At 37.9% G+C, this 24,838-nt stretch overlaps 1 protein-coding gene across 18 annotated transcripts in view; it reads left to right on the forward strand.

The window, feature by feature from the left end:
- Positions 1-24,838, forward strand: part of WAC (WW domain containing adaptor with coiled-coil) — a 90,334-nt gene that overhangs the window by 31,202 nt on the left and 34,294 nt on the right. For all 18 annotated transcript variants that reach the window (XR_007061967.1, XM_047425320.1, XM_047425315.1 and 15 more), the window contains one exon: positions 19,419-19,525. Coding sequence is in view for 17 of the 18 variants with exons in the window: in XM_047425320.1 (XP_047281276.1) it covers positions 19,419-19,525 (107 nt within the window). In the remaining variant the exon portion in view is untranslated. The remainder of the gene's footprint in view (positions 1-19,418; positions 19,526-24,838) is intronic.

Here is a 24,838-nt window from a genome sequence, read left to right on the forward strand (position 1 = left end):
AAGTAGAAGAAAAAGGCTGGGTGTGGTGGCTCATGCCTGTAACCCCAGCACTTTGGGAAGCTGAGGCGGGCGGATCCCTTGAGCTCAGTTTGAGACCAGGCTGGGCAACTCCATCTTTACCAAAAAATACAAAAATGAGCCAGGCATGGTGGTGTACACCTGTAGTCCCAGCAACTCTGGAGGCTGAGGTGGGAGGAAGGCTTAAGCCTAGGAGGTGGAGGTTGCAATGAGCCAAGATTGTGCCACTGCACGATAGAGCCAGACCTTGTCTCAAAAAAACAAAACCAAACAAAACAAAAACCCTAGGAACAAGAACAATGGGAAGGGAAAATGTCCTGTGGTCAGATACTGTTGTTGTAGCTAGAAGGCAAAAATGAGTTTTTGGATTAAGTTTTGATGCTGACTGAAGTCATAGAGATGGAAGAAGAGAAGACAGAGAAGGCCATGGTGGTTAGAGGAGTAGTGGGAGTGATGAAAACACATTAGTGGAAATTAAGGAATGTTAGTGGGGATACTGAGGAGCAGTGACAAAAGAACATCCACCAACAATGTCTTTATCATTAGGGACAAGGAGAACAATACCACACTACTCATGCTTGTTAATAGGCAGGAGAATAGACATAAAGGTTATACTTGGGTTTAAACCTCACCTGTTTATATTTAGCTAGTTTTTTAGGGGAAGAAAAATCTATTTTGAGATAATTGTAGATTTACCTGCAATTATGAAATAATACTGCAGAGAAATTCAGTATACCCTTCATCCAGTTTGCCACAATGGCATCACCTTGCGTAGCTGTAGTATATTATGACAGCCTCAAAATTGATAATGATAATCCCCATTGTCTCTATTGAGATTTTACTAGATTTGCATGCAGTGTGTGTGTCTGTATTTTGTTCCATGCAGGGTTGGTTGTTGTTTTTTGCATGAATACGTTAAGGTGACTACCGCCACGGTCAAGATACAGAGCAGTTCCATCACAAGAATTCTTTGTGCTACTCTTTTAAAGGCACAGCCTAACCTTCCATAACCCTTAGTAACTACTAATCTGTTCTCAGCCTCTCTAGTTTTGTCATTTCAGGAATGTGTTATGTATAAATGGTATAGCATTACCCTTTTGAAATGTGCTTTTTTTCACTCAGCAAAATTGCCTTGAAAACCATCCAAGTTGTTATATGTTCCTGTTTTAACCGCTGGTTTGAATGTCCCACAATTTGTTTAACCATACGCCATTGAAGGAAATGTGGATCGTTTCCAGGTTAAGGCTGTTAGCAGTACAGCTCTTATAACATTCATGTACAGATTCTTGTGTGAACATAACTTTTTGTATCTCTGTGATAAATTCCCAAGAGTGCAACTGCAAAATTCATATGGTAGGTTAGCTGCTTAACATTTTTTACTTTTGTTTTAAAGAGATAGGGTCTTGTTCTGTCACCCAGGCTGGAGTGCAGTGGCTCAATCATAGCTCACTGCAGCCTGGAACTCCTGGGCTCAAGCAATCCTCTTGCCTCAGCCTCTGGAGTAGCTGGGACTACAGGTGTGCACCACCCCACCCAGCTCTGCTTAATGTTCTAGTGACAGTTAAAAGCAGAATAATCTTCACTTATTGTCATCAATTATCAAATAATATTATTATAAATTGTTACTGTTTTTATCTGTTGTCTTCTCATTACATTTTTCTGTAGGTTATTATGGAAATACCTGAATTTTTAAAAGGAATTTGCTAGATGCTAATTTTTAAATGTACCAAATTAGCTTTTCATTTTGCTCATAAAATAACACAAGCAGCTCTTTCTGTACAACCTGCACTTTAATTTTGGTCAGTACATACTGTATAACAAATACACTTCTTGTTTAATGTATTTAAGGTAATTTATTTTGAGCCTGTCAAACTCTTGAGCTAGTATGTTTTTACAGGTAATTTTGCTGCCACTCTGTATTTTCGAGATGTTTAAAAATATTAGAGTGTGCAGAAAGCAGGAGCACAATCTAGAATCTGACATTTATACCAAAGTTTCATACTTATAGTACTGCCATTGTGTTAAAAAAAAATTAGAGTAAAATATAGTACTGAAGGCTACTTACTCTGCCTTAGACGACGTAGGAGACTTGAATCTTAAAAAGCACTTCAGTTTTGTTTGATGCCTAATAAAGCTTGGAAAGTCAGACAAAGCTCCAGGGAAGAATACTTTCTGTCTTACTCTTTTGGTGTCTTATACCAGCTTTGGCATATAATAAATGTTCAATAAATTAAATGTTTGTTAAGTGAGTATTGTGTGTGCACGTGTGTGTGTGCATATGCTGGGAGTAGGGTGGGGCAAGTGTTGACTGTTTTTATAAAAAAATAGAAAAAGTGTGAGGAATATATTTTGAGTAAATATTTACTGTATAATGTCAGTCCTTGGACACAAAACAAATTAAGTTGTCAAAATAAGCACATGGTAATCAGAGTGGCTATTGATCTCAGACAGTAAGCAGGTGAGTTTAGCTGGATTTGGTGTACACTGTCAGTCCTCAAAGTACAGCTACTCCATTTGTGAATGTATGTTGATTTTTCTTATGATTGTCTGTATTCTGTAGTTTCCTCTCCCCCAGTGTATTCGAGAATGTCTTCCTATTGCTTTTACTCATGAATGACATCTTAGATTGGAAAATAATTTTCTGGGTCACATCCAGTTTTTTTCTCTTACCATAAGACATTACTCCATTGTCTTCTGGCATTTAGTGTTACTGTGGAAAAGTCCAAGGTCAGCCCATTTTTGTTTTGTAAGTGATATGCTTCTGCTGGGATGCTTTTAGAATTTTTGTTAATGGGTAAAATTCAGCAGCTCCACCAGGATATGAGGACATGTGTCAGTTTTTTTCAGTTCTTTATTTTTGCTGGTATGTGGTGAGTCCTTTTCAATCTGCAGATTCAGATCTTCTTTTATTTCAGGGAAGTTTTGTTTTATTATCCCCTTGAATGTCCTCCCTGTTTTTTTTTTTTTCAGGACCTTCAGTTTTGCATATATTGGCTTCATCTTTCATATTGGGCATCTTATCTCTAAGTACTTTACATTTTTGTCTTATGTGCTTTATGGTATTTCTCTGTTCTGTTTCCTTATGATTGACATTGCTTTCAGTCATGTTATTCTTTTGCTACTTCTAATGTGGTTTTATTTTTAAATAATTTCATCTTTTTCCTTAAGTTCCTCTAAATTCCAGCTCTTTTTTTTTTTCTTTTTTGTTGGGGGGACTTTATCTAAAGTTTTTGGTTTCCTGAAATTTCTTTCGAAGTATATTTTCTTTATGTTGTATACCCCCACTTCCATGTCTGTACAGGCTTTGTGTGTGTTTGTTTTGAGTGGATCCAGTGTGGATAGTATGATTAGATACTCTCTGATTCTGCGTCTTACTCTTTTGGACACTATTTTAATTGTGCCCTTAAAATTTGGTGTTTGTAATCTGAGGCCAGGTTAAGGAAAGAGCTATGAAAGGCATTTATTTGGAAGAGAGTGATAAAGTGAGGAGGTTATATATTTACTCTGAAGGTTTACAGTATTTGATGAAGTCTCTTCTTAGAGATTACACCTGGGGATCCAGGCAAAGATGTAGGGTGGCGCAGGGCTCCCTTCTGACAATTCTCTACATCACTGGGCCAAAAAAAGGCAGTTTATTGGTACAGATGACCCTTCTCTCCCACCTCTTCTGCCTGCCATAAGTTTTCAAAATATGTAGCCTTGACAAGAATTGGAACTTGTACCTTCCTGCATTTCAGTGTGGGCTTTTCTTTTTTTTCTTTCTTTCTTTAAATGGAGATGAGGTCCCACTTTATAGCCCAAGCTGGAGTGCAGTGGCACTATCATGGCTCACTGCAGCCTTGACCTCCTCAGCTTAAGTGATCCTCCCACTCCAGCCTCCCAAGTAGCTGAGACTAAAGGCAGGTACCACCACACCGTTGTAGAGATGGGGGTCTCGCTATGTTGCCCAAGCTGGTCTCGAACTCCTGGGCTCAAGTGATCCGCCCACCCTGGCCTCCCAAAGCACTGGGATTACAGGCCTGAGCCACCTCGCCCGGCCTCAGTATGGATTTAATTTGTCTCTTGAAACCATTTGTCAGAGACGGTTTGTTGAGTTATGACTTGCCTTGTTAGATTTGATTACATATTCTTTTTGGTCCCTTTAGTTATTTTTGATAGGTGTTATAGAGGGCAAATACAGAAACATATTCTCAAACTGTCTTCTTTTTGAAAGTTTACTTTTAACGTAATTTTCAGTGTCAGTTTGCTGTCGGATTCATCTGAGTTGTTTGCAAAAATACATTATTCCAGTTGCTGAATTAATGGCTTTTTAAGTCAATTGGAAATAGGTCTTTTAAGATAACTTTCATATGATTATTTCAATATTAGATACTAAGTTCTTTTTTTGTTGTTGTTGTTTTGAGATGGAGTCTTGCACTGTCAGCCGGGCTGGTGTGCAGTGGCACGGTCTTGGCTCGCTGCAACCTCCACCTCCCGGGTTCAAGCAATTTTCCTGTCTCAGCCTCCTGAGTAGCTAGGATTACAGGCACCCGCCACCATGCCAGGCTAATTTTTTTTTTTTAATACTTCAAGTTCTAGGGTACATGTGCACAACGTGAGGTTTGTTACATATGTATACGTGTTCCATCATGGTGTGCTGCACCCATTAACTTGTCATTTACATTAGGTATATCTCCTAATGCTATCCCTCCCCTCTCCCCACACCCCACGACAGGCCCTGGTGTGTGATGTTCCCCTTATGTCAGGCTTATTTATTACAGAGACGGGGTTTCACTATGCTGACCAGGCTGCTCTTGAACTCCTGACCTCATGATCCGCCCACCTTGGCCTCCCAAAGTGCTGGGATTACAGGCATGAGCCACTGTGCCCGGCCTAAGTTCTTTTTATATGAGTTGGGAATTCCAACACCCAGATAAATAGTAATTAGAGAACATATATGTCCCTGTGATTACATACAATATATGCATTGTACATGTGGATTACATACAATATATGCATTGTACATGTGGAGTTGCTGTTAAAAATGATGGTGTAAGAGGCACATTTATTGATGAATGAAGAAGTTCCTGGATACTAAATAGAAAAATCCCCACACAAAGTAGCATGATTCTATTTTTGGTTACAATATGTACATATAGAAAAACTATAAGGAGACTCACCTTTTCTAAGTGTTTTTCTATAGCCTGTTAATACTAATAACTGTTCTTTATAGAAAATCAGATAAAATAGTACTGCAGTTTTTAAAAATAATGGTAAAAATAGATTTATGAGAATTTCGTTCTTGTGCCTGGTGGTAAATGATCATTATGCAAAAACTTTTTCATATTAAGGAAACATTCATCTATTCCTACAATTAGTTGTTAATGCTTTGTTGGAAATCTGTTTGAATGTTATCAACTGCTCTCTTTTGATAGCATATTTTAAAGACATAAACATTTAAGAATTATATTTTTGCCAGTCTGATTATTCAGCCATTTTGTATTCCTGTGCTAAGGGGTGTATATAGTTGTGAATTCTCTTATTCTATTGTTTGTCGGCATTTTGCAGTTGATTACTTTTATGATTGAATCTGTTTCTGGAGCATATATACACTGAGAATTAATCTCTGAATGTTTGAAACAGTTCCTCAGTGAACTTCTATAATCTAGTTCGGCTAGAGCTGTGGCTGGGCAAGGAGGTTGGTGGGGAATGCAAAGATTGGGACTGAAGGGAGAGTGAAGAGATATGTCTAGAGATGTTGTCATACATATGGTTTGTTGGGGCTTCCCCTCCAGTAATCATTGAGATTCTGTTTTTATCTTTAGTACAGTACTTTATAGTAAGTAACATTTCCATCTGTTTCTTTTTGTGTATAAAATTGGTTTAGGCAGTGTGGCAATATGTACTTTCCCTTGAATAAACAACCATTTCATAGTTCAACAGCACCAAAAGTGTCCAATATTGGGTTATCAATGGCTCTATCCAAAAATGCACCTCTGGTTGTCTCAGCATAAAAGCAGGATGACTAAGCACCCAAAACAGATGGAGTTTTAGAATAAATACTGCTTTGTGAGCACATGTCTCAGCTGAGACACATGAGCAGTATTGAAATTGCCTTATCTGTAAGGGAGAATTTACTTAAAGTTTTCCTTGAGGTAACTCTGCTGTAATACGCTACCTTTTTTCTCTCTTTAATACCACATATTTTTGGGAAAAGTACTATTCCAATTTATTTTATTTTGTACAGATAATAGAGTGGAGGCTAGAGTAATTTTAAAGTTACTAGTTACCAACTTTTATTCTAAGTATTTTTAGTGGGTATTACAGGTATAGTGTGTTGTCTTAAAACTTTTTTGCTATGCTTATAATAGTTGTATTTAATAGATGATGTTTATATTCTTGGATATGACACTAAGATTTGTTATCTCCAGCCTTCGGCAGCTCATCTGCAGACACTCTCTGTATCCCTTATTATTAAATGATGCTGTATGGAGCCCAGAGGGTCTAAGAACAGACTGAATTAAGAGTTGATCCTTAATCACCCACTATCCTGTTGCAATAGGAGCAGCTCTGCTTTTAAGTATTGGACTTTCATTCATGCATTTATTTTATTTTGGAGTGTACTGTCAGATCTGGGCACTGTTGTAATTATGAAATTATTCCAGTGGCATGTCAGGAAGATCCCTGTCCTCAGAGTTTCTCTTCTAGTGGAAGAGACAGACAATATAAAATATATAAAAGGATAATTGTGTGATAAGGAAATAGTGATTCAAACAGTAGTGTTAGTGACGTAGGCAGAGTAGTTACATTGGTCAGGGAAAGGCTGACTTATGAATTAACACCTGAAGGATGAACAGCCAGCCATATAAGGAAAGAACTCTGTGGCTTTAAATAGTTGGGGAAAAAATTAGATAACTGTTTTTCTAGAAAGACTCTTCTTCTTTAGTTGTGTTATCCTTAAAGATATACTTTTTTTTTTTTTTTTTTTTTTTTTTTTGAGTTGGAGTCTCACTCTGTCACCCAGGCTGGAGTTCAGTGGCGCGATCTTGGCTCACTGCAACCTCGGCCTCCTGGGTTCAGACGATTCTCCTGCCTTGGCCTCTTCGAGTAGCTGGGACTACAGGCGCTCGCCACCACACCTGGGGTTTCGCCATGTTGGCCAGGCTGGTCTTGAACTCCTGACCTCACGTGATCCACCCACCTTGGCCTCCCAGAGTGCTGGAATTACAGGCGTGAGCCACCATGCCTGGCCCTTAAATATATACTTTTCATGTGCTTTTTTGTGATGCCGCGAGTACTATTCAGAAGCATCGAAAAATGCTTAAAAGTGAAAAGTAAATAATTTTGAGAATTTGTTATTCAGAAGATGAGATCTGTTCTTTCTTTAGTTTAGTATCCAAGGCCCCTTAGTAGTCTAGCATAACAGCTTTACACATCTGTTACATCGCAGGTACAGTAACCGTGTTCCTGTCAGACTGTTGTACTTTGCCCTCTGAATCTTTATCACCATGTACTTTCCTACTTTTATGCTGTTGTTCATAATGTGTCCCTTGACTGAAGGTTGTTGTCTACTGTACCAAGTTGAAATCTTCTGTGTGAGATGATTTTTGTAGCTTGCCTTACTTTACTATCTTAATGTAACTCAGACAGATGAAAGCGCAGCATGTACTTGAAGATTGCTTTGTGCTCATTTTCACTCCTTTTCAGATTGAGAGGTGAGTTCCATGTGGCTTCCAAAGTTGAAATCCACTTCTTGGTTAATTAGGGTCAGGAGGTAAAATTACTTGGAGACACCTATGTGTATGCAGGTACCTGCCTCTGTTTCTTTTTGCCTTCTGTTCTTGTAACTCTAATCAGTCAGCTTGGAAAAGGGATAATACTCAGTTTTTTAGCTATATTACTTGCTCACCTTTTAGAATCTTATTATAATTTGATAAATTTTTATAAAACTTACTGTTTTACACTAACCTATATTTTTTCTCTCAGAGGAATGCTTTCCTCCCTTAGAATAACTACTTAATTTAAAAATAAAACAGGGAGCAATATAGGATGTAATTACACTGCATAAAAGCAGCTGTTGTCCAGGCACAGTGGCTCAGGCCTGTAATCCCAGCACTTTGGGAGGCCGAGGCGGGTGGATCACGAGGTTAGGAGTTCAAGACCAGCCTGGCCAAGATGGTGAAACCCCATCTCTACTAAAAGTACAAAAATTAGCCGGGCTTGGTGGCAGGTGCATGTAATCCCAGCTACTTGAGAGGCCGAGGCAGGAGAATTGCTTGAACCTGGGCAGCAGATTTTGCAGTGAGCCGAGATCGCACCACTGCACTCCAGCCTGGGCAACAGAGTGAGACTCTGTCTCCAAAAAAAAAAAAAAAAAGCCATTAAGGAGAGATGTGTGCTATGATGGGGGCTTGCTTTAAATTTGGTGGTCAAGAAAGGCTTTTCTGAGGATGTGACATTTAAGCTGAGAAATCAAACATGACCAAGAAATAGAGTGGGAGATAGAGGAGAGTAGATACAGAATGTATAAAGGATCTAAAAATCTTACTCTTGGCTGGGTGTGGTGGCTCACACCTGTAATCCCACACTTTGGGAGGTGGAGGTGGGCTGATCACTTGAGGTCAGAAGTTCCAGACCAGCCTGGGCAATATGGTGAAACCCCGTCTCTACTAAAAATACAAAAATTAGCCTGGCGTGGTAGTGGGCACCTGTAATCCCAGCTACTTGGGAGGCTGAGGCAGGAGAATTGCTTGAACCCGGGAGGCAGAGGTTGCGGTGAGCCAAGGTTGCACCATTGCACTCCAGCCTTGGCGATGAGAGCGAAACTCAGTCTCAGCAACAACAACAAAAACCTTACTCTTGAAATCTTAGCTAATTCCTTAGTGAAAAGTCAGATGGCAGGGGTCAAAAGAAGTTAGAAACATTCATAAGTATCTCATTTTAGACTTTGTTGTGATTATTTCAGCTGTGTACAGTGTCAGGCAATATCTTATTTGACAAGTGACCACAGGTGGGCCCCCACCTAGGTAGAGGCAAAATCTGAAGTGAAGCCCAGATTGCCTGATTGCTAGTCTCACTAAAGGAGTGGCTCTTAACATGGTTAGACCAGCCATCTCTTTTAAAAAATATTTTACATGGCTATTTTTTTTTCTATTTTTAAGATATTTGTTAGTATTATTGTAGAGACAGAATCTCTCCCTATATTTCCCTAGGCTGGTCTGGAATTCCTGATTATTTTTAAAAATCGAGATGAAATTCACATAACAATTGTCATCTCCCCCCCAAAATTACTGTATACCCATTAGCAGTCACTTTCATTTTTTCTTCTCAAAGCCCAACTCCCCAATTACTGATCTACTTTCTGTCTCTCTAGATTTTTGTTTTCTGGATATGTCATATAAACTGATTACACAGTATGTGGTCTTTTGTGACTGGCTTCTTTCACTTAGTGTTTGCAAAGCTCACCCATATTGTTTTACATATCAGTACTTAGGCTTTCGCTTCCTAGGTTAAAATTTTACTCCAGTAATTCTCAGAGCCTATAAGGTACATTTAAGCCATAAGAGAATGTCAGTACAGCTTATTCCAGATTCACAGTCGTGCACCACTTTCTATTCAAAGCATCCCATGGGATTAGGTGTTGAGAACTGAAGAATTAAGGACTGTGTCTAAGCTAGACAAATTAAAGTCACATGTATAGTAGATTGCTTTTTTTGGTGGGGGCGTAAGTTTTATTTATGTGTAATTCACATACCATACCATTCAGCCATTTGAAGTGTATAGTTCACTGATTTTTAATATATTCACAGTTAGTAGTCACCAATGTTCTAAATCAACTTTAGAATATTTATATCACTTACAAACCCTTTAACTGTCATCCCCCAACACCCCCCTCACCCTCAGCTCTAAGAAACTATTACTGCATTTTCTGTCTCGACAGGTTTGTCTATTCTTAATGTTTTGAATAAATGGGCTCATACCATATTTGATCTTTTGTGACTGGGGTATTTCACTTGGCATATTTTTGAGATTCATTTATGTTGTAGCATGTATTAGTACTCATTTCTTTTTGTTGCTAAATGATATTCTGTTGCATGATTATGCCACATTTTCTTGTCAATTGGTAAACATTTGGTTTTTATTTTTTGACTTTAAGAATAATGCATTATGTGTTTTTTTGTTTTGTTTTGTTTTTGTTTTTTTTAGACAGTCTTGCTCTGTGTACAGTGTCACGATCTCGGCTCACTACAACCTCCGCCTCCCAGGTTCCAGTGATTCTCCTGCCTCTGCCTCCCAAGTAGCTGGGATTACAGGCATGCGTCACCACACCTGGCTTATTTTTGTATTTTTAGTAGAGGCGGGGTTTCCCCATGTTGGCCAGGCTGGTCTCAAACTCCTGACCTCGGGCAGTCCGCCTGCCTTGGCTGCCCAAAGTGCTGAGCTTACAGGAGTGAGCCAGTGTGCACGGCCTGTTGCTGTTTTTGAGACAGTGTCTCATTCTGTTGCCCAGGCTGGACTGCAGTGGTGCAATCTCAGCTCACTGCAGCCTCTGCCTCCCGGGTTCTGGCGATTCTCCTGTGTCAGCCTCCTCAGTAGCTGGGACTACAGGCACACAGCACCGCACCCAGCTAATTTTTTGTATTTTTAGTAGAGGCGGGGTTTCACCATGTTGCCCAAGCTGGTCTCAAACTCCTGAGCTCAGGCAATCCGCTTGCCTCAGCCTCCCAAAGTGCTAGGATTACAGGTGTGAGCCACTGTGCCCAGCCAAGAATAATGCATTATGAATATTCATGTACAGTGTTTGGGCATATATTTTCATTTCTTCTGAATATGTACCTAGGCGTGGGATTGCTGGCTCATATAACTGATTGGTTGGTCGGTGGTTTTTTTCATCTCTTTTTCACTGCTTTATTCTTGTTTGCCAGTATAGTGCCAGTACATTTTAGGTACACAAGTAGATGTTTGAATGAATGAATGAATCAATGAATCAAAGAAAAAGTTACATTAATGGTACCTAGAGCTTATTATTTGGTAAATGTTGATGTTCTGTTTAACCCAGGATTATAGTACTTGTTTATTATTAGTATTTTGTATATATCTTCAACTAATAGAGGATATCCTGTTTTTAAGTTTTTGTTTGTGTAAGATTTAGTTGGGTACATTTGCAGATTTGTTACTTGGGTATATTGAGTGATGCTGAGGTTTGGGGTACGAATGATCCCATCACCCAGGTACTGAGCATAGTGCCCAACAGTTAGTTTTTCAACCCTTATCTCCTCCTTTCCTCCCCTTCTAGTAGTCCCCAGTTTCTGTTGTTGCCATCTTTACGTCCCCGAGTACCCAATGTTTTGTTTGTATATATGATGTGCTTTTGTTCTTTTTTATGGCTACAGATAACTATGCTTAACATTTTCAGGAACTACCAGACTGTTTGCCAAAGCAGATGCAGTATTTTACTTTCACATTAGCAGTTTGTATAAGAGGGTTCCAGTTTTTCTGCATCCTCACCAACACTTGTTTTTGCCTGTCTTTTTGACTATAGCTATTCTAGTGGGTGTGAAGTGTTATTTCCCTGCAGGTTTGATTTGCATTTCCCCAATGGCTAATGCCATTGTTCATCTTTGATATGCGCTTTGGCAATTTGTATGTCATCTTTGAGGAAATGTTTGTTCAGATTTTTTACTCATTTTTAATCAGATTATTTTTATTGAGCTGTGGAGTTCTTACTGGTAGAATTAGGTAAAAGTCTTACCAGATGTATGATTAGCAACATTCTATGTGTTGTCTTTTCACTTTCTGGTAGTGTCTTTTCAAACACAACTCAGTTTCATTCTTTTGCACGTGCCGCCTCCCATTTTAAAACTCTCCTGTCGCATAATGTTTCCATAAATGAAGTACTGTGTATGTGAAGGTGATCTCATAATGTATTTTTACTGTACCTTTTCTATGTTTAGATATGCTTAGATACACAAATACTAACATTGTATTATAGTTGCCTACAGTCTTCAGTACAGTTACAGGCTGTATAGATTTATAGCCTAGGAGCAATAGGTTATACCACATAGCCAAGGTGTGTAGTAGACTATACCATCTAGGTTTGCGTTAGTACACTCTTAGGATGTTTGCACAACAAAATTGCTCGACAACATATTGCTCAGAACGTATCCTTGTCTTTAAGCAGCACATGACTGTATGGTATAAAATCGCCATAGTAATATATACATAATAACATATACTGCCTGCAGATAGAAATAATGTTACGTGTAATTTTCACAAACTCTTTGTAGCACTGTGCTAAAAATATGTAGCCATATATATATATTTAAGATAAGATACGGCAGTACTGTTTTTTAAACAATGAAATTTGTTGAGTGTTTCATCTAGCGTTTATCTCTGCCACTTCAATGTTTGAACCTGTCAACAAAGGAATCTACTTAATGTCATTTGTTTGTGACAGATATAAGGCAGATGTATTATATATATAGCATTATTGTCAGTGGTGAGATTTTTCCAAGTAGTGAACATTTTGATAAAAGTTCCAAAAAATGACCTTATTATAAACTAAAGTTGTATTGGTTCATGTGTAAAAAAGAATTAAGTTTTATACAGTACAATTTGCATAGCAGCTGTATTCCTGGAAAATTTAGCATGCTGTGCTAAGCAGATTTTGGTTCTAGACTCAGTTAATTATAAGCAGCTTGTTTTCAGATGTTAGACAGTTCTTTGGGAGACATGTATAATGCCCAGTAGGCATCCCTGGCCCCCTTTCACTAAATATCAGCTCACCTTCATGGAGAGCAATGCTGTCCAGTGAGTCTCATATGCAGTTTTAAGTTTTTTAGTAGCCAACATCTGGAATTTCAATTATATTTATTATTTAACCAGATACAGCTAAAATACTTCATGTAATCAATATAAAAATATTAATGTGATATTTTGCATTTGTTTTTTTACCTAAGTCTTGGAATCTAGTATCTATTTTACACATACAGAAAATCCCAATTCCTACTAGCTGTGTTTCAAGTGCTTAGTAGCTATGTGTGGCCAGTGACTGTCATTGAATAGCACAAATGTAGAGGGAGTAACTGTACAACCAGCTGTCAAATTGTTGATACTTGTTGTGATCCATTTTTCCCTCCCGCAAGAGACAAAACCTGGTTAGCTATAAGTTTCGCTTTTCACCACCAGGTTTCTTGATATACAGTTGGTAAATTGCAGAATGATATTATTATAAACTAAAGTTGTATTGGTTCGTGTGTACAAATTTTTTTTAGTCAAGGATAATGCTCAGAAGTTACTTCCATTTCCATGTTCTTACCCCTAAATAGCTGCATTTTTATCCTAATGGTTTTTTTTGCATTATTATCTCTTGAAAGTAATTGATTTCCATGCTGAGCTGCTTGTCTGTGCTATTCAAGTTTTTATTAGTACTCTGATAATAAAGTTGCATAATTTTGAACGGCTTTGTTCTATTTTTCCCATAAGACTTTTTAATATGCAGTTTTGCAGAATTCAGTCTTTTCAAGGCGAACATTTATCATGTTATAGCAGAAAAACCGTATAGTACAGATATGTGGCTTTCTTGGTGAAACTCTTTTAAGTGCTGTGGCCGCTGGTTAGGAGTGATGAAAGGCCAAGGACACTGGAAGGTAGTACAGCATTCAGAGTAACAGAGGAAGAAGATCTTGGGAAGGTACTGACCTGTAGAGTATAATAATCTCTGTAAGTGAAGAGGGTATGATCATCAGTTTATTTTTAGCATATTGCCATCTTTTCAGGGGAGATTCGTTGAGTGTCCTCTACCATTTGACTTCGTAAACCTTTGTTTCCCAATGTGTGGCCTGGGTGCTAACTATACTAGAACCATCCTGGGAATGCCTATTAAAAATTCAGGTATTAAGCCAGGCATGGTGGCTCTTGCCTTCAGTCCCAGCACTTTGGGAGACCAAGGCAGGTGGATGGATCACTTGAGGACAAGAGTTCGAAAATAGCCTGGCCAACAAAGTGAACGTCTCTACTAAAAATACAAAAATTAGTGGGACATGGTAGCGTATATCTGTAGTGCCAGCTACTTGGGAGGCTGAGGCACAAGGATCTCTTGAGCCCGGGAGGCAGAGGTTGCAGTGAGTCAAGATCGTGCCACTGCATTCCAGCTTGGGTAACTGAGAGATCCTGTCTCAAAACAAAACAAAACAAAAAAATTTAAAAATTACTGTGAATTAGAATCTCTGAGAAAGACAACTTTGAGATCTACAATTTTTAATATACTAAAGATTCAGATCCACTACTGAGCTTTATTCAGTCCTATTTTTGCTTTTGTCTGAAAGCAATATGAGATGGTAGATGTCTTTGAATTATTTCATTTAGTATACAGATATACCTGTTCCTTCCTTAGTGTCTTAAAGAGAATAAAGACACTAAGACTTCTAAGTCTGTGGATCTGGTAATAAATTCTGGCGGTTGTCAGGGTCTGAATAAGGACATAAATGCCATAATATTTTGCTCCTGAGTAGACTGAAAACTGTTGTTCCACCTTTTTGAAAGCTGGTTGCCTTTCCCACTGCCATTTAATCATATAGAGTTGTATGTCCTCCCTCTGCTTTCCCTACTCCTAATATCCTGGTTCCCTTTTGTAAATGGAAGGGCATTGTAATTGCTTAATGTCCATTTCTCGCTGAGTCAGGTATGTTTTGATGAATTTTTTTTGGACCATTTTCTGATTATTTTCCTAGGCCCTCACTCTTTGAAACTATAGGTTGTGTCCTTCTCACCCTTAAATTTTAGCTTCTGAAGTTTCAGAAGATGCCAAATAGGGATTATTCTGTCAAAAATACTGAAGATTTTGTCAGGGAAAATGTCATTCTCTTGTACCGACCCTTGGACGGTGGTCTGAAACTAGCATCCAGTCATGTTGTTACATCTCCATTTTATAATTTGCCCTGGCTAAGCACTGGAAGGGAGAATTTTGCTCACCATTTAAGTTCTTAAAGTTGCAAGCTTAAGTATAGAGCCCCTATATCTGTCCTGCTCTTCTCCCTAAACCAAGTCATTCCCAATAGCATCCTTTTCTTAGACTCCTTTAAGACTTAACTTTATCAGTCCTAACTTTAATTTCTTGAGGTTGGTTTAAATGTACAACATTTAAAAACATTTTTATCCCACTTACTCACTGATACAGTATTTCTTGGGTAGATGAATTTTTTTTTTTTTTTGTCGTTAAATAGCGAGCTTTTCCTTGGTAATATACACAGTGCATAAAGGTACTTGACTGTATAAATGGCATTGCCTCCGTTGCTTTTTTGGATCATTGTGTGACCCAGTGTGTGACCCAATGAAGCAATGGAGACAATGCTGTTTATACAGTAAAAAGTACCCTTTATGCACTCTGTCTCTCACCAGCATGTATATATTATCTTCCTTTGTGTGCTTGAATACTCACTAGATTTGGGATTGAAATTCTGAGTTCAAGTTTTATGCGTGGATTCTGCTCTTACTGGATAGGTTCAGAAGTCTTACTATATTCTTTCTCTTAGCCTTAGATTCTGTATTATAATAAAAGAAATCTAAAACTTGTGAGGTCGCATATAAAAATTCATGTGATATTTTAAGATAGGAGATTTAAAAGGAATTTTGTGTTGTAGCACTTCTTTTCGGTATGGCTCTAGAAAATCATAACCACCATTACCCCAGCCTTGGGAAGGATGTGCACAATCAGTTTGTTCTTCTACTTGTGTATTACTTCAGTTTGGAAAGAGATACACGGAGAAAGTAAGAGGCTCAAATGAAATACCAAAGAAAGTATGTAAGGTAATATAAGCTGAAGCTTTTATTCTGAGACATTTAACTTTGTTTACCTTATTATTGTCATTTTATTCAGGGGCAAATCTGCACTACCTTCAGGTCCAAAGGGCATCTTTCTAGTTGGAATGTAAAGATGTACTGCCTGCCATGCTTTGTATAAAACCTCTTATGTGAATTTGAAATCTGTTTAAGAATGTTAGTTTATTCTTAGTCTTTCAGAAAAATATCTTTATCTTACTCCTCACCCATTTTAAGTTTTGTTTTTGATAAGCAGTCTAAGTAAATCTCCATAGAATGTGGAATCTGGTCCCTATCCAAAAAGCTCTTGTCTTTGAAAATAATTTCCCCATCAACAACTGATTCCGTTTTCTCTTTTAGAGAAGTCAGGCTGGTGTGCCTTGATGCTTATGACTTGATTATTATGCTGTGCCTTCTGAAAACACATACACTAGACCTAAAAGTTAGTTGGTAACTTCTGTCAGGCTGGTGGAAGGCATACCATTTCTTTAGAGGTATAATTAATTGGAATGCTTGTCAGTATTTGAGTTTTCATTGACTTCAGGAATAGTCACTAAAGCGGAGTGAATTTCTGGATCTTAACCTCATGAGAGAGGTCAATAGACCTCATTTGTAATATACCTTATGTTTGTAGAATACCTGTCAGGTCTTTCAGCAAACTTTTAATGTGGCACTTTCATTTCATAGATTTAAGCATAGAACATACTGTTCAAGAATGTGTGCAAATAAATGTCTGAGTGGGGTATCTAACCCAGGCTTTTTAATGGATTACTCTGGGATTTATTTCAGTCAGTAAGATTAGGTTTTTTTCCATTACTGTCGACAAACTTAAGGAAATTTTCATGGAAATCCCACTCTGCGAGTAGTGCATATATATTCTAGTAGTCCATATTACTAGTTCTACTTCTTATATTCAGTTGTAAATCTGATTTTTAAAAAATCTTTGGAGTTATATCTGAAAAGTAGAAATTTCAGCATAGATCTCATGTTTTTCTTTAAAACTTGAAGTATTAATTTTCCTTTGTTACTAAGCATTTTGGGATCCTAAAACCATTTGTGAGGTTTGGTGATTCTCTAAGACTCTCAGGACTCAACATAGTCATTATCATGACTGTGACTTACTACAGTGGACAGGTGCAAAGAGAAAAGGCACATGGGGCAAAATCTGAAGGAATCCAGGTGTAAGCTTCTAAGAATTCTTGCCTAAGAGTCATACAGGATGCACTTAATTCCTCCAGCAACAAATTGTGACACACTTGTGGAATGTTGTCTACCAGGGAAGCTCACTAGAGATTTAGTGTGCACGGCTTTTACTGGATTTGGTGAGTTATATAGGTACTCTTTGCCTTGCATGTACCAAAATTTCAGACTCCAGTAGGAAAGCAGGTGTTCAGTACAAACCATATTATATACCCAAACAGCTTAGGTACAATGAGCGATTCTTTTTTTTTTTTTTTTTTTTTTTTTTTTTTTTAAGACGGGTTCTCATTATATCACCCAGGCTGGTCTCGAACTCCTGGACTCAAGGGATTCCCCTGCCTCTACCTCCTCAGTAGTCGGGACTAGTGCAAGCCACTGTGCCTGGCCTCAGTGAGCACCTCTTTCACCTCTTTATCAGTTAGGGTTGTGAGATCCCTCTGGAAGTCTAGATTCCCACATGTCTGTCAAGGGCCAGCTGTGCCAGAAAGCCTTTCTAAAGATAGCAGTCTCTGGGCTTCTGTTAACTTTTCCTGTATACTCAGCCTTTTTGTTTGTTTGTTTGTTTGTTTGTTTTTTGAGACAGAGTCTTGCTCTGTTGCCCAGGCTGGAGTGCAGTGGCACAATTCTCAGCTCACTGCAACCTCGCCTCCCAGGTTCAAGTGATGCTCATGCTCCTGCCTCAGCCTCCCGAGTAGCTGGGACTACAGGCACACACCACCACGTCCAGCTAACTTTTGTATTTTTAGTAGAGATGGGGTTTTACCATGTTGGTCAGGCTGGTCTCGAACTCCTGGACCTCGGGTGATCCACCTGCCTCGGCCTCCCAAAGTGTTCAGCTTATTTTTGACTGATTTCTTCTTGATTCTGTTCATTCATAGAGCATTTATTGAGGATTTATTTCTTGCTTCCTGTTATTTAAAAGGGGGTTTAGGGTATTCTATCTATATAAGTAGAATACTGTACAGCAAGATGAAATCAAAATAAGTAGAAGAACCCATCAGACTTCTTAGGAAATATCCTCTATCATACCACCTACGTTGTTCTTAAGTAACCATTGTACTTAGGTAATTCTCTTTGATCTTTTGTGACATCACTAGCTTTCTTGAGTCTTTGAATCTGCATGTAGTTTCCATTATAAGCAGACCCTTATCTGAGGGTAAATCTTGGCCATTGCCTTTTTTCCTGTCATACTCTTACTTCGTCCATGAACTTTTTTAGTGCCTGCTGCTTACATGCAAAGCAGTTAGTCACCTCTCCTACCTTTGACTTCTAATAGAAAAGACTTCCAAATCCACATCTACTTAACACCTTTTCTTCTGAATTCCTAGTTCTGTATTAATCGGACCATTTTCACTTGGATATCTAAAACCTTATAGTCATCATCTGTCTCAGTTCACCTTTCCTCTTACCATTTAGTTGTTTCTATTGATTGAAATAATATTCCTAACTCATTTCTGCTTTTATCCACCCTGGTTCTAACTGATAATTCCTGGACCACTGGAGCATTTAAATTGCTCTTTGCACTTCTAGTTTTTGTTCATAATAGTGTAGCCTCCATGCCACTCCTAGATCACTTACTAAAAAAAATACCAGTTGGATTATGTTACTTTGTTGCTGAAAAATCTAGAATTAAGGAATGATATTGAAATACTAACATTAGACTTCTGTGGTGAACCTTTTTGTGTCATTCATCAAAGTGTTTTTGCAAGTCTGGATTTTTATACCCTGCTTTTTCTTAAAGCAAGAGAAACTTTTTTCTGTGGTCACTGACATATACAGATTTTCATAAAACTTGAGTTACTCTTAAGCAATTTTTAGATAGAGTTGGACCTGTTAGGAAAAGAGTCTTGATGTCATCTTTATCATCTTATAAGTGAGCACCTTCCCTGAGACTCTTTAACTTCTTGAAAAAAGTTGATGCTGTTTTATTTGAAAAATCGTCAAGACTATTAAAAGGCAAATAGGGGAAACTGTTAAGAAATTGAAATACAGTTGCAAAAACATACTGATAACAGTGACTTTTAGTTCTGTATCATTTGAGTTCTTGTGCCTTTTTTCTGTGCACATTGTACTTCTATTTTTGTCCAGTAAAACTTTAAGAAAACCCAGAAGTTGCTACAAATGATAAAGATAAGGTTTTGTTTCTCTCAAAAAGGTTGTTATATGCTGCTGTTCCAGGACATATCAGGATGACAACTATGTATAATATTTAAAGCCACATCTTTAGTAGGTTCACAGATACTTTATATACTATAAAAAGTATGACTGTGTATATATTCCTAATGCTTATGTAAGATGTTCGTTTAGAGATATAAAATAATATCTAGTATGATAGAAAACAGTTTAGATTAAACATGAAATACAGTTTACTTGTAATTCACTTTGTTCTTTATTTTTTTAAGGGACCAGTTACTCTCCACAAGAAAATTCACACAACCACAGTGCTCTTCATAGTTCAAATTCACATTCTTCTAATCCAAGCAATAACCCAAGCAAAACTTCAGATGCAGTAAGTATTATAAACATGTCCAATATGGTTTCTTTGGAATTTTTTGCAAAAAAAAAAAAAAAATACAACCCATGGCAAGTCTTGTAAAATCTAATGTCTTTTTTTTTAAAAATGTTTCAATCACAGTCTTAATGTGTTTATTTGATATTATTATTATCCTATTTTAAACCAATGAGCCAAGCTTATTAATGGAACTGAAGAGTTGTCAGAAGATAGTATCTTTGGTATTACTTAATTAGGATTCCTGTACAAAGCAATGTTTTTCTGTTGTGATATCTGAGATAAAAAGAACTTCAGGCTGAAACTTCTTTAAAGTGGTCTAAGTTAAGCTTACTTTCTTTCCATAGTGTATAAACTCCTTATAGGATACATTTATTATCTACTGTGTCTTACACACTCTCCCAGACGCTAGGGATATACAGTTACCTGTCCACAAGGGTGTGAAACCCAGTGAGGGATTTTAAATATTTTCAGAAGTTTAGTTTAATGAAATAAGTTATTTATTTTGAATTTTAAGTCATAGGTTTAAATGAAATTTTTAATTCAGCAAAAAATTAATAAGGTTTTAATTCACCAGGCATATGCTAAGCTGCATATATATGGAATGTGGCCCATCTTAAAGGAATTCTGGGACCTGTGGTAGAGACAGAAAAGTAAACAAATAGTGCCTGTTAAAGTTGCTTTGGAGGGTGCTCAACACAGGACTCCCAGCTTGGGTGAGGAAGATAGTAAAGTATAACTAATGCTTCCCAACAGGCTGACTAAAACTTGGGCAGTAAAAGAGCTCTGGACTTCATAGCATACAAAGGAATAGAGCTTGCAACGATGTAGAAGTGTAAAATAGTGTAGCACGGTTAGAGAACTGCCAGAATTTTGACAGTGTGGAAAAATGGCAGGAGCTAAAGTTACAGAGGTAAGTGGGAGGCATATCATAAGAAGCTCTATGTCATGCCAAGGAATATTAATTATACATATATAAGGCAGTGGAGAGGTATTGAAGGATATAATCAGTAAAATAACATCATATTTGCAATTTAAAAAATTATCTCGGGTAGCAGTGTGGAAATATAGGAAAGAATGAACAATGAGAAGGCTGACAAAGGTGTAGGTTGAGTCCAACTGATTTTGCTTTGAGTATTTGAGTGATCATCATGTCTTAATTGACGTTGAAAGACCTTCAGATTTTATTTTTGTTTCTTGTTGAAGCAGTGTGGATAGTACATTTCCATAGAAAATTGAGACATTAGGATAATATTTGGATAAAAATAGATAGTATTAGTGTCCATTTAGAAAATTATACTATTGGCCAGGCACGGTGGCTCGCTCCTGTAATCCTAGCACTTGGGAGGCCAAGGCGGGTGGATCACTTGAGGCCAAGATGGTGAAACCCCATCTCTACTAAAGATACAAAAGTTATCCTGGCATGGTGGCAAGCACCTGTAATCCCAGCTACTTGGGAGGCTGAGGCAGGAGAATTACTTGAACCTGGGAGGCGGAGGTTGCAGTGAGCCAAGATCACCCCATTGCATTCCAGCCTGGGTGACAGAGCAAGACTGTCTCAAAAAAGAAAAGAAAATCATGTTAATTGTTTTAACACAGAATTTAATATATGGGATTGGTTAAGCAGATACTGAAAAAAAACAAAGGAACCCTCAGGTAACACATACAGTAATCACCACTCAAGGCTATTGAACAACCGGATGAATTTGGGGTTTTAGAACCCAGTAGCATAGAGGAGGAGCCCCACAGAGCTGGTAGTAATACCTCTGAGGGTATGGTGAAGCTAGTTCTAGTGGTGGGATGGTAGCCGAGAGCTGGTAACAACGGCGGCTGCTCCTTTCTCCTGCCTTTCATTCGTCTAATGCTTCTAAGAGGAAGGAAGCCATCTGGCTAAATAGAGAGTAATTTGCACTGTCCCAGCTCTAGCATCACAGAGCGGACTATCAAAGGGTGGGACTGGGACTGAGAAAACAGCTCGCTAAGCCTTCACGCGTGCTATCGTCAAACTATTTGTGATGGGTCATTTTCTTTTTCCTTTCTTTTTTTTTTTTTTCCAAGTAGGGAAGGGAGGATGAGGCCAAGTGGGGAGAAGGGGGGGCAAATCATTTTCAGTGAGATGTATATTCAGGATTTTAGAATGAATCTGCCTGTTTTCCTGGAAAACAGTCTATTACTTTACAAAGTAACACTAACCTAAAGTTCCACTTGTCATTGACAGTTTAGATTTGCTATTTGTCTACTCCTAGGACAGCAGCAGCCCTTGTGGGCATTGTTTTTTTTTTATTTTGTAAAACACAAATGCAAACAAAACAAACACCTCATTCAGGGAAGACAAACTTTGATTATTAGGATTTTACAGCAGTGGGTTTAACCCAGTGAAGTCAGAAAGAATAAATAATGGGCGTAGATAAGCTTGAATGATTCAAATCATAAGGGTGTCAGGGAACTTAATTATGTGAGTGAAAGTTGAAGACCATTACTAGAATAGATAAAATGTTTTGTGTTTCTGGAATCCGCGTTCTGGTTTCTCTAGATTTCACCTGTAGGTGCATAAGTAGTGGTCTTTTGCATTATAATGTACCTAGTGGGAATGATACAAACAGCCCTTATGAACTGTAAATTTAATCTTACCTGAAAAGTTGGCTTTAGAGTTATCTACACAGATATTTGGGTATGTGGGTGATTTTTTAAAATCAAGTTAACTATTAAAAACCAAGTTGAAATTATCTTTTATTTTCAGTATCAGATTAAGGCGTTAACATTTAATGTACTTCCCTGCTAAGTCCTCTGATAAACATTTATTGTGGGGTGTTTACCGCAGAGCCTGGCTTATGGTAAAGATTAGGAAAAGCTTGGTGAATGCCTCCTTCACAAAAAAGTCATGGGAATGTTGGGCGCAGTGGCTCACAACTATAATCCCAGCACTTTGGAATGCCAAGGCAGGAGGATCACTTGAGGCTTGGAGTTTAAAACCAGCCTGGGCAACATAGTAAGCGCCTGTCTCTACAAAAAAATAAAAATAAAAAAATAAATAGCTAAGTGTGGTGGTGTGTTCCTGTGGTCCCAACTACTTGGAAGGCTGAAGCAAAGGATTGCTTGAGCCCAGAAGGTTAAGGCTGCTGCGTTGAGCTATGGTTGCGCCACTGCACCTCCAGCCTGGCCGACAGCAAGACCCTGTTTCAAAAATAATAATAATAAAAGGTAAAATAAAAAAATCATGGTATGACTTGTAGATTATTTTAGATTAGTTGTGCATATTTGATTTTTCAAAGGGGGCTCTGAATTAGGAAAAAAATGTTGCTTATTTTTATTTAAAGACACTGTAATTGAGATTTTCCCTTCTAAATATTCTATGCCAATTTTGATTTGCTGGGATGTGCTTAAGTTCAATCCTGTATGAGTTTGCATTCATATTCCAGCTCATCTTGTTATCAACTAAGTATCATCTGCATACTTTGGAGCTTTTGAGTCTTGAGCCAGGCGAGGTGCTTCCCACCTGTAGTCCTGGCTACTCAGGAGACTGAGGAGGGAGGCTCGCTTGAGCCCAGGAGTTGGAAACCAGCCTGGGCAGTATAACAAGACCTCATCTCGGGGAAGAACGGAAAGGAAAGAAAAAGTTTGAGTCTCATCAATATCTACCATATTAAAAATTAAAACTGGGAAATTATTCATTTCATTTAAAATATCAATTGTAAACCCATTATATGGTAACATATGTAACATCTTTGTGAAAAGTAATTTTTAAAAAAATAGACATTGAACATCTTAGTAATGTTTGACTTAATAGAAAAAGACACTTAGAATTTCATAATTTCGTATCTGCTTCTGCATTCAATCTGTTATGATACATCCAGTGTTTTGTTGAGCCTCTGGGTAAACTTCACTGTATGCTTGTGGTAAAATGAGGAAGAAAAAAATAATCATGTTAGTATTATTATGAAAATAGTTCTGGTCTTGTGAAAGGCTGTTGGGGTTCCCCAAGGTTTCCTGGATAACACTTGGAGAGCTGCTTTAGAGCATATATTGGCAACCATCCCAGGCCAAATCTAGAAAACTTTAAATGTTTGCAGGCCTTTCGTTTAAGTCCTCAATATTAGTTACTCTTTTTGTAAAGTTAAGAAATTTGACACCTGCTATTGCACATCGGCATTGTAAAAATTATCCCATAATTTGAAGGGTTTCTTTTTCCTTAACTCCTTGAGGATGGCAGTGGGGTGGAGAAAATAAAGTTATTGGTATGTGATTGTATGCTCTACCCTGGAATTCTGTTAAGTGTAAGGTATCAGCTTGGACTAATCTAGAATTTGATAGGCAAAATCAATGTAGTGTGGTAGACCGGTGCTCGGGTTTGTGAACTTTCTGTCCTGGAGGTTGTGCCAGAATGTTAATCACTTAAATAGAATGTTTAGTTCAGCTGACTTTTTTTTTTCCTTAAAGCACAACTTCTGTGAAAGAAACAGTATGTTTATATATTCAAATGCAAACTCCTTATTTCCTCCAGGATAAGTTGGCAAACCATCACTTGGAAGAGCACTGGCCTAGACCATACTGACCTCTGGTGTCCTCTGTCCACTAGTCTCAAATCTCATTCTACCTCTTCAGTTCAGTAATTCCACATAACCACTTGGCAAGCAAACCAAGCCTTCCAGATAACATCCGTAGAAGGGATCAGTTGCATAATAATTTATGTATAGGGAGGAGTAGGTGGTAGGGAAGAACTTCCTGAATTTGGCCCTTTGTGATTGGGTTCCTAAAGCTTGATTGTAGGCTTCTGGAAGCTAGTGGGATTGAAAATTAACTCTCCACTGCTTTTTGAGGTGTGAGGGCGCAGGGCTGCTTTGCCACCCTCATTATTTTGGGATGTAAACCTGAGCATATAAATACATGGCAGAGTCTGTGATCTTTTTCCAACTGCCTTCAGAATTATTAGGGGAATTTCCAGACTCGGTGTTAATTTAGTGGAAATAATAGGCATTTGGAAACCAGAGTTTTTTGTCCTTTGATAAACCACTAATTAGTTTTGTGACCTATAGACAACTCATAAGTTCTCTCAGCTTGTTTCCTAGTTGTTAAAATTAAAGCTGGGCCAAGGGTAAGGCAGTGAATAAGACTTCATTTCCTCAAGCTTGAAAATTGTGGCACGATACAGTGAACCCAGAAGGATAGGCTATGATAGTATAGTACATTATTTCATTTTTTTAAGTGGTTTAATCTTTTTAAATATTTTTTAATTTTTCTAAATTGACAATTCTACATATTTATGGGGTACATAGTGATGTTTCGATACATACAGTATATTTTTATAATGTTCAA

This window comes from Homo sapiens, chromosome 10 (genome assembly GCF_000001405.40).
Source record: "Homo sapiens chromosome 10, GRCh38.p14 Primary Assembly".
Lineage (NCBI taxonomy): Eukaryota > Metazoa > Chordata > Mammalia > Primates > Hominidae > Homo > Homo sapiens.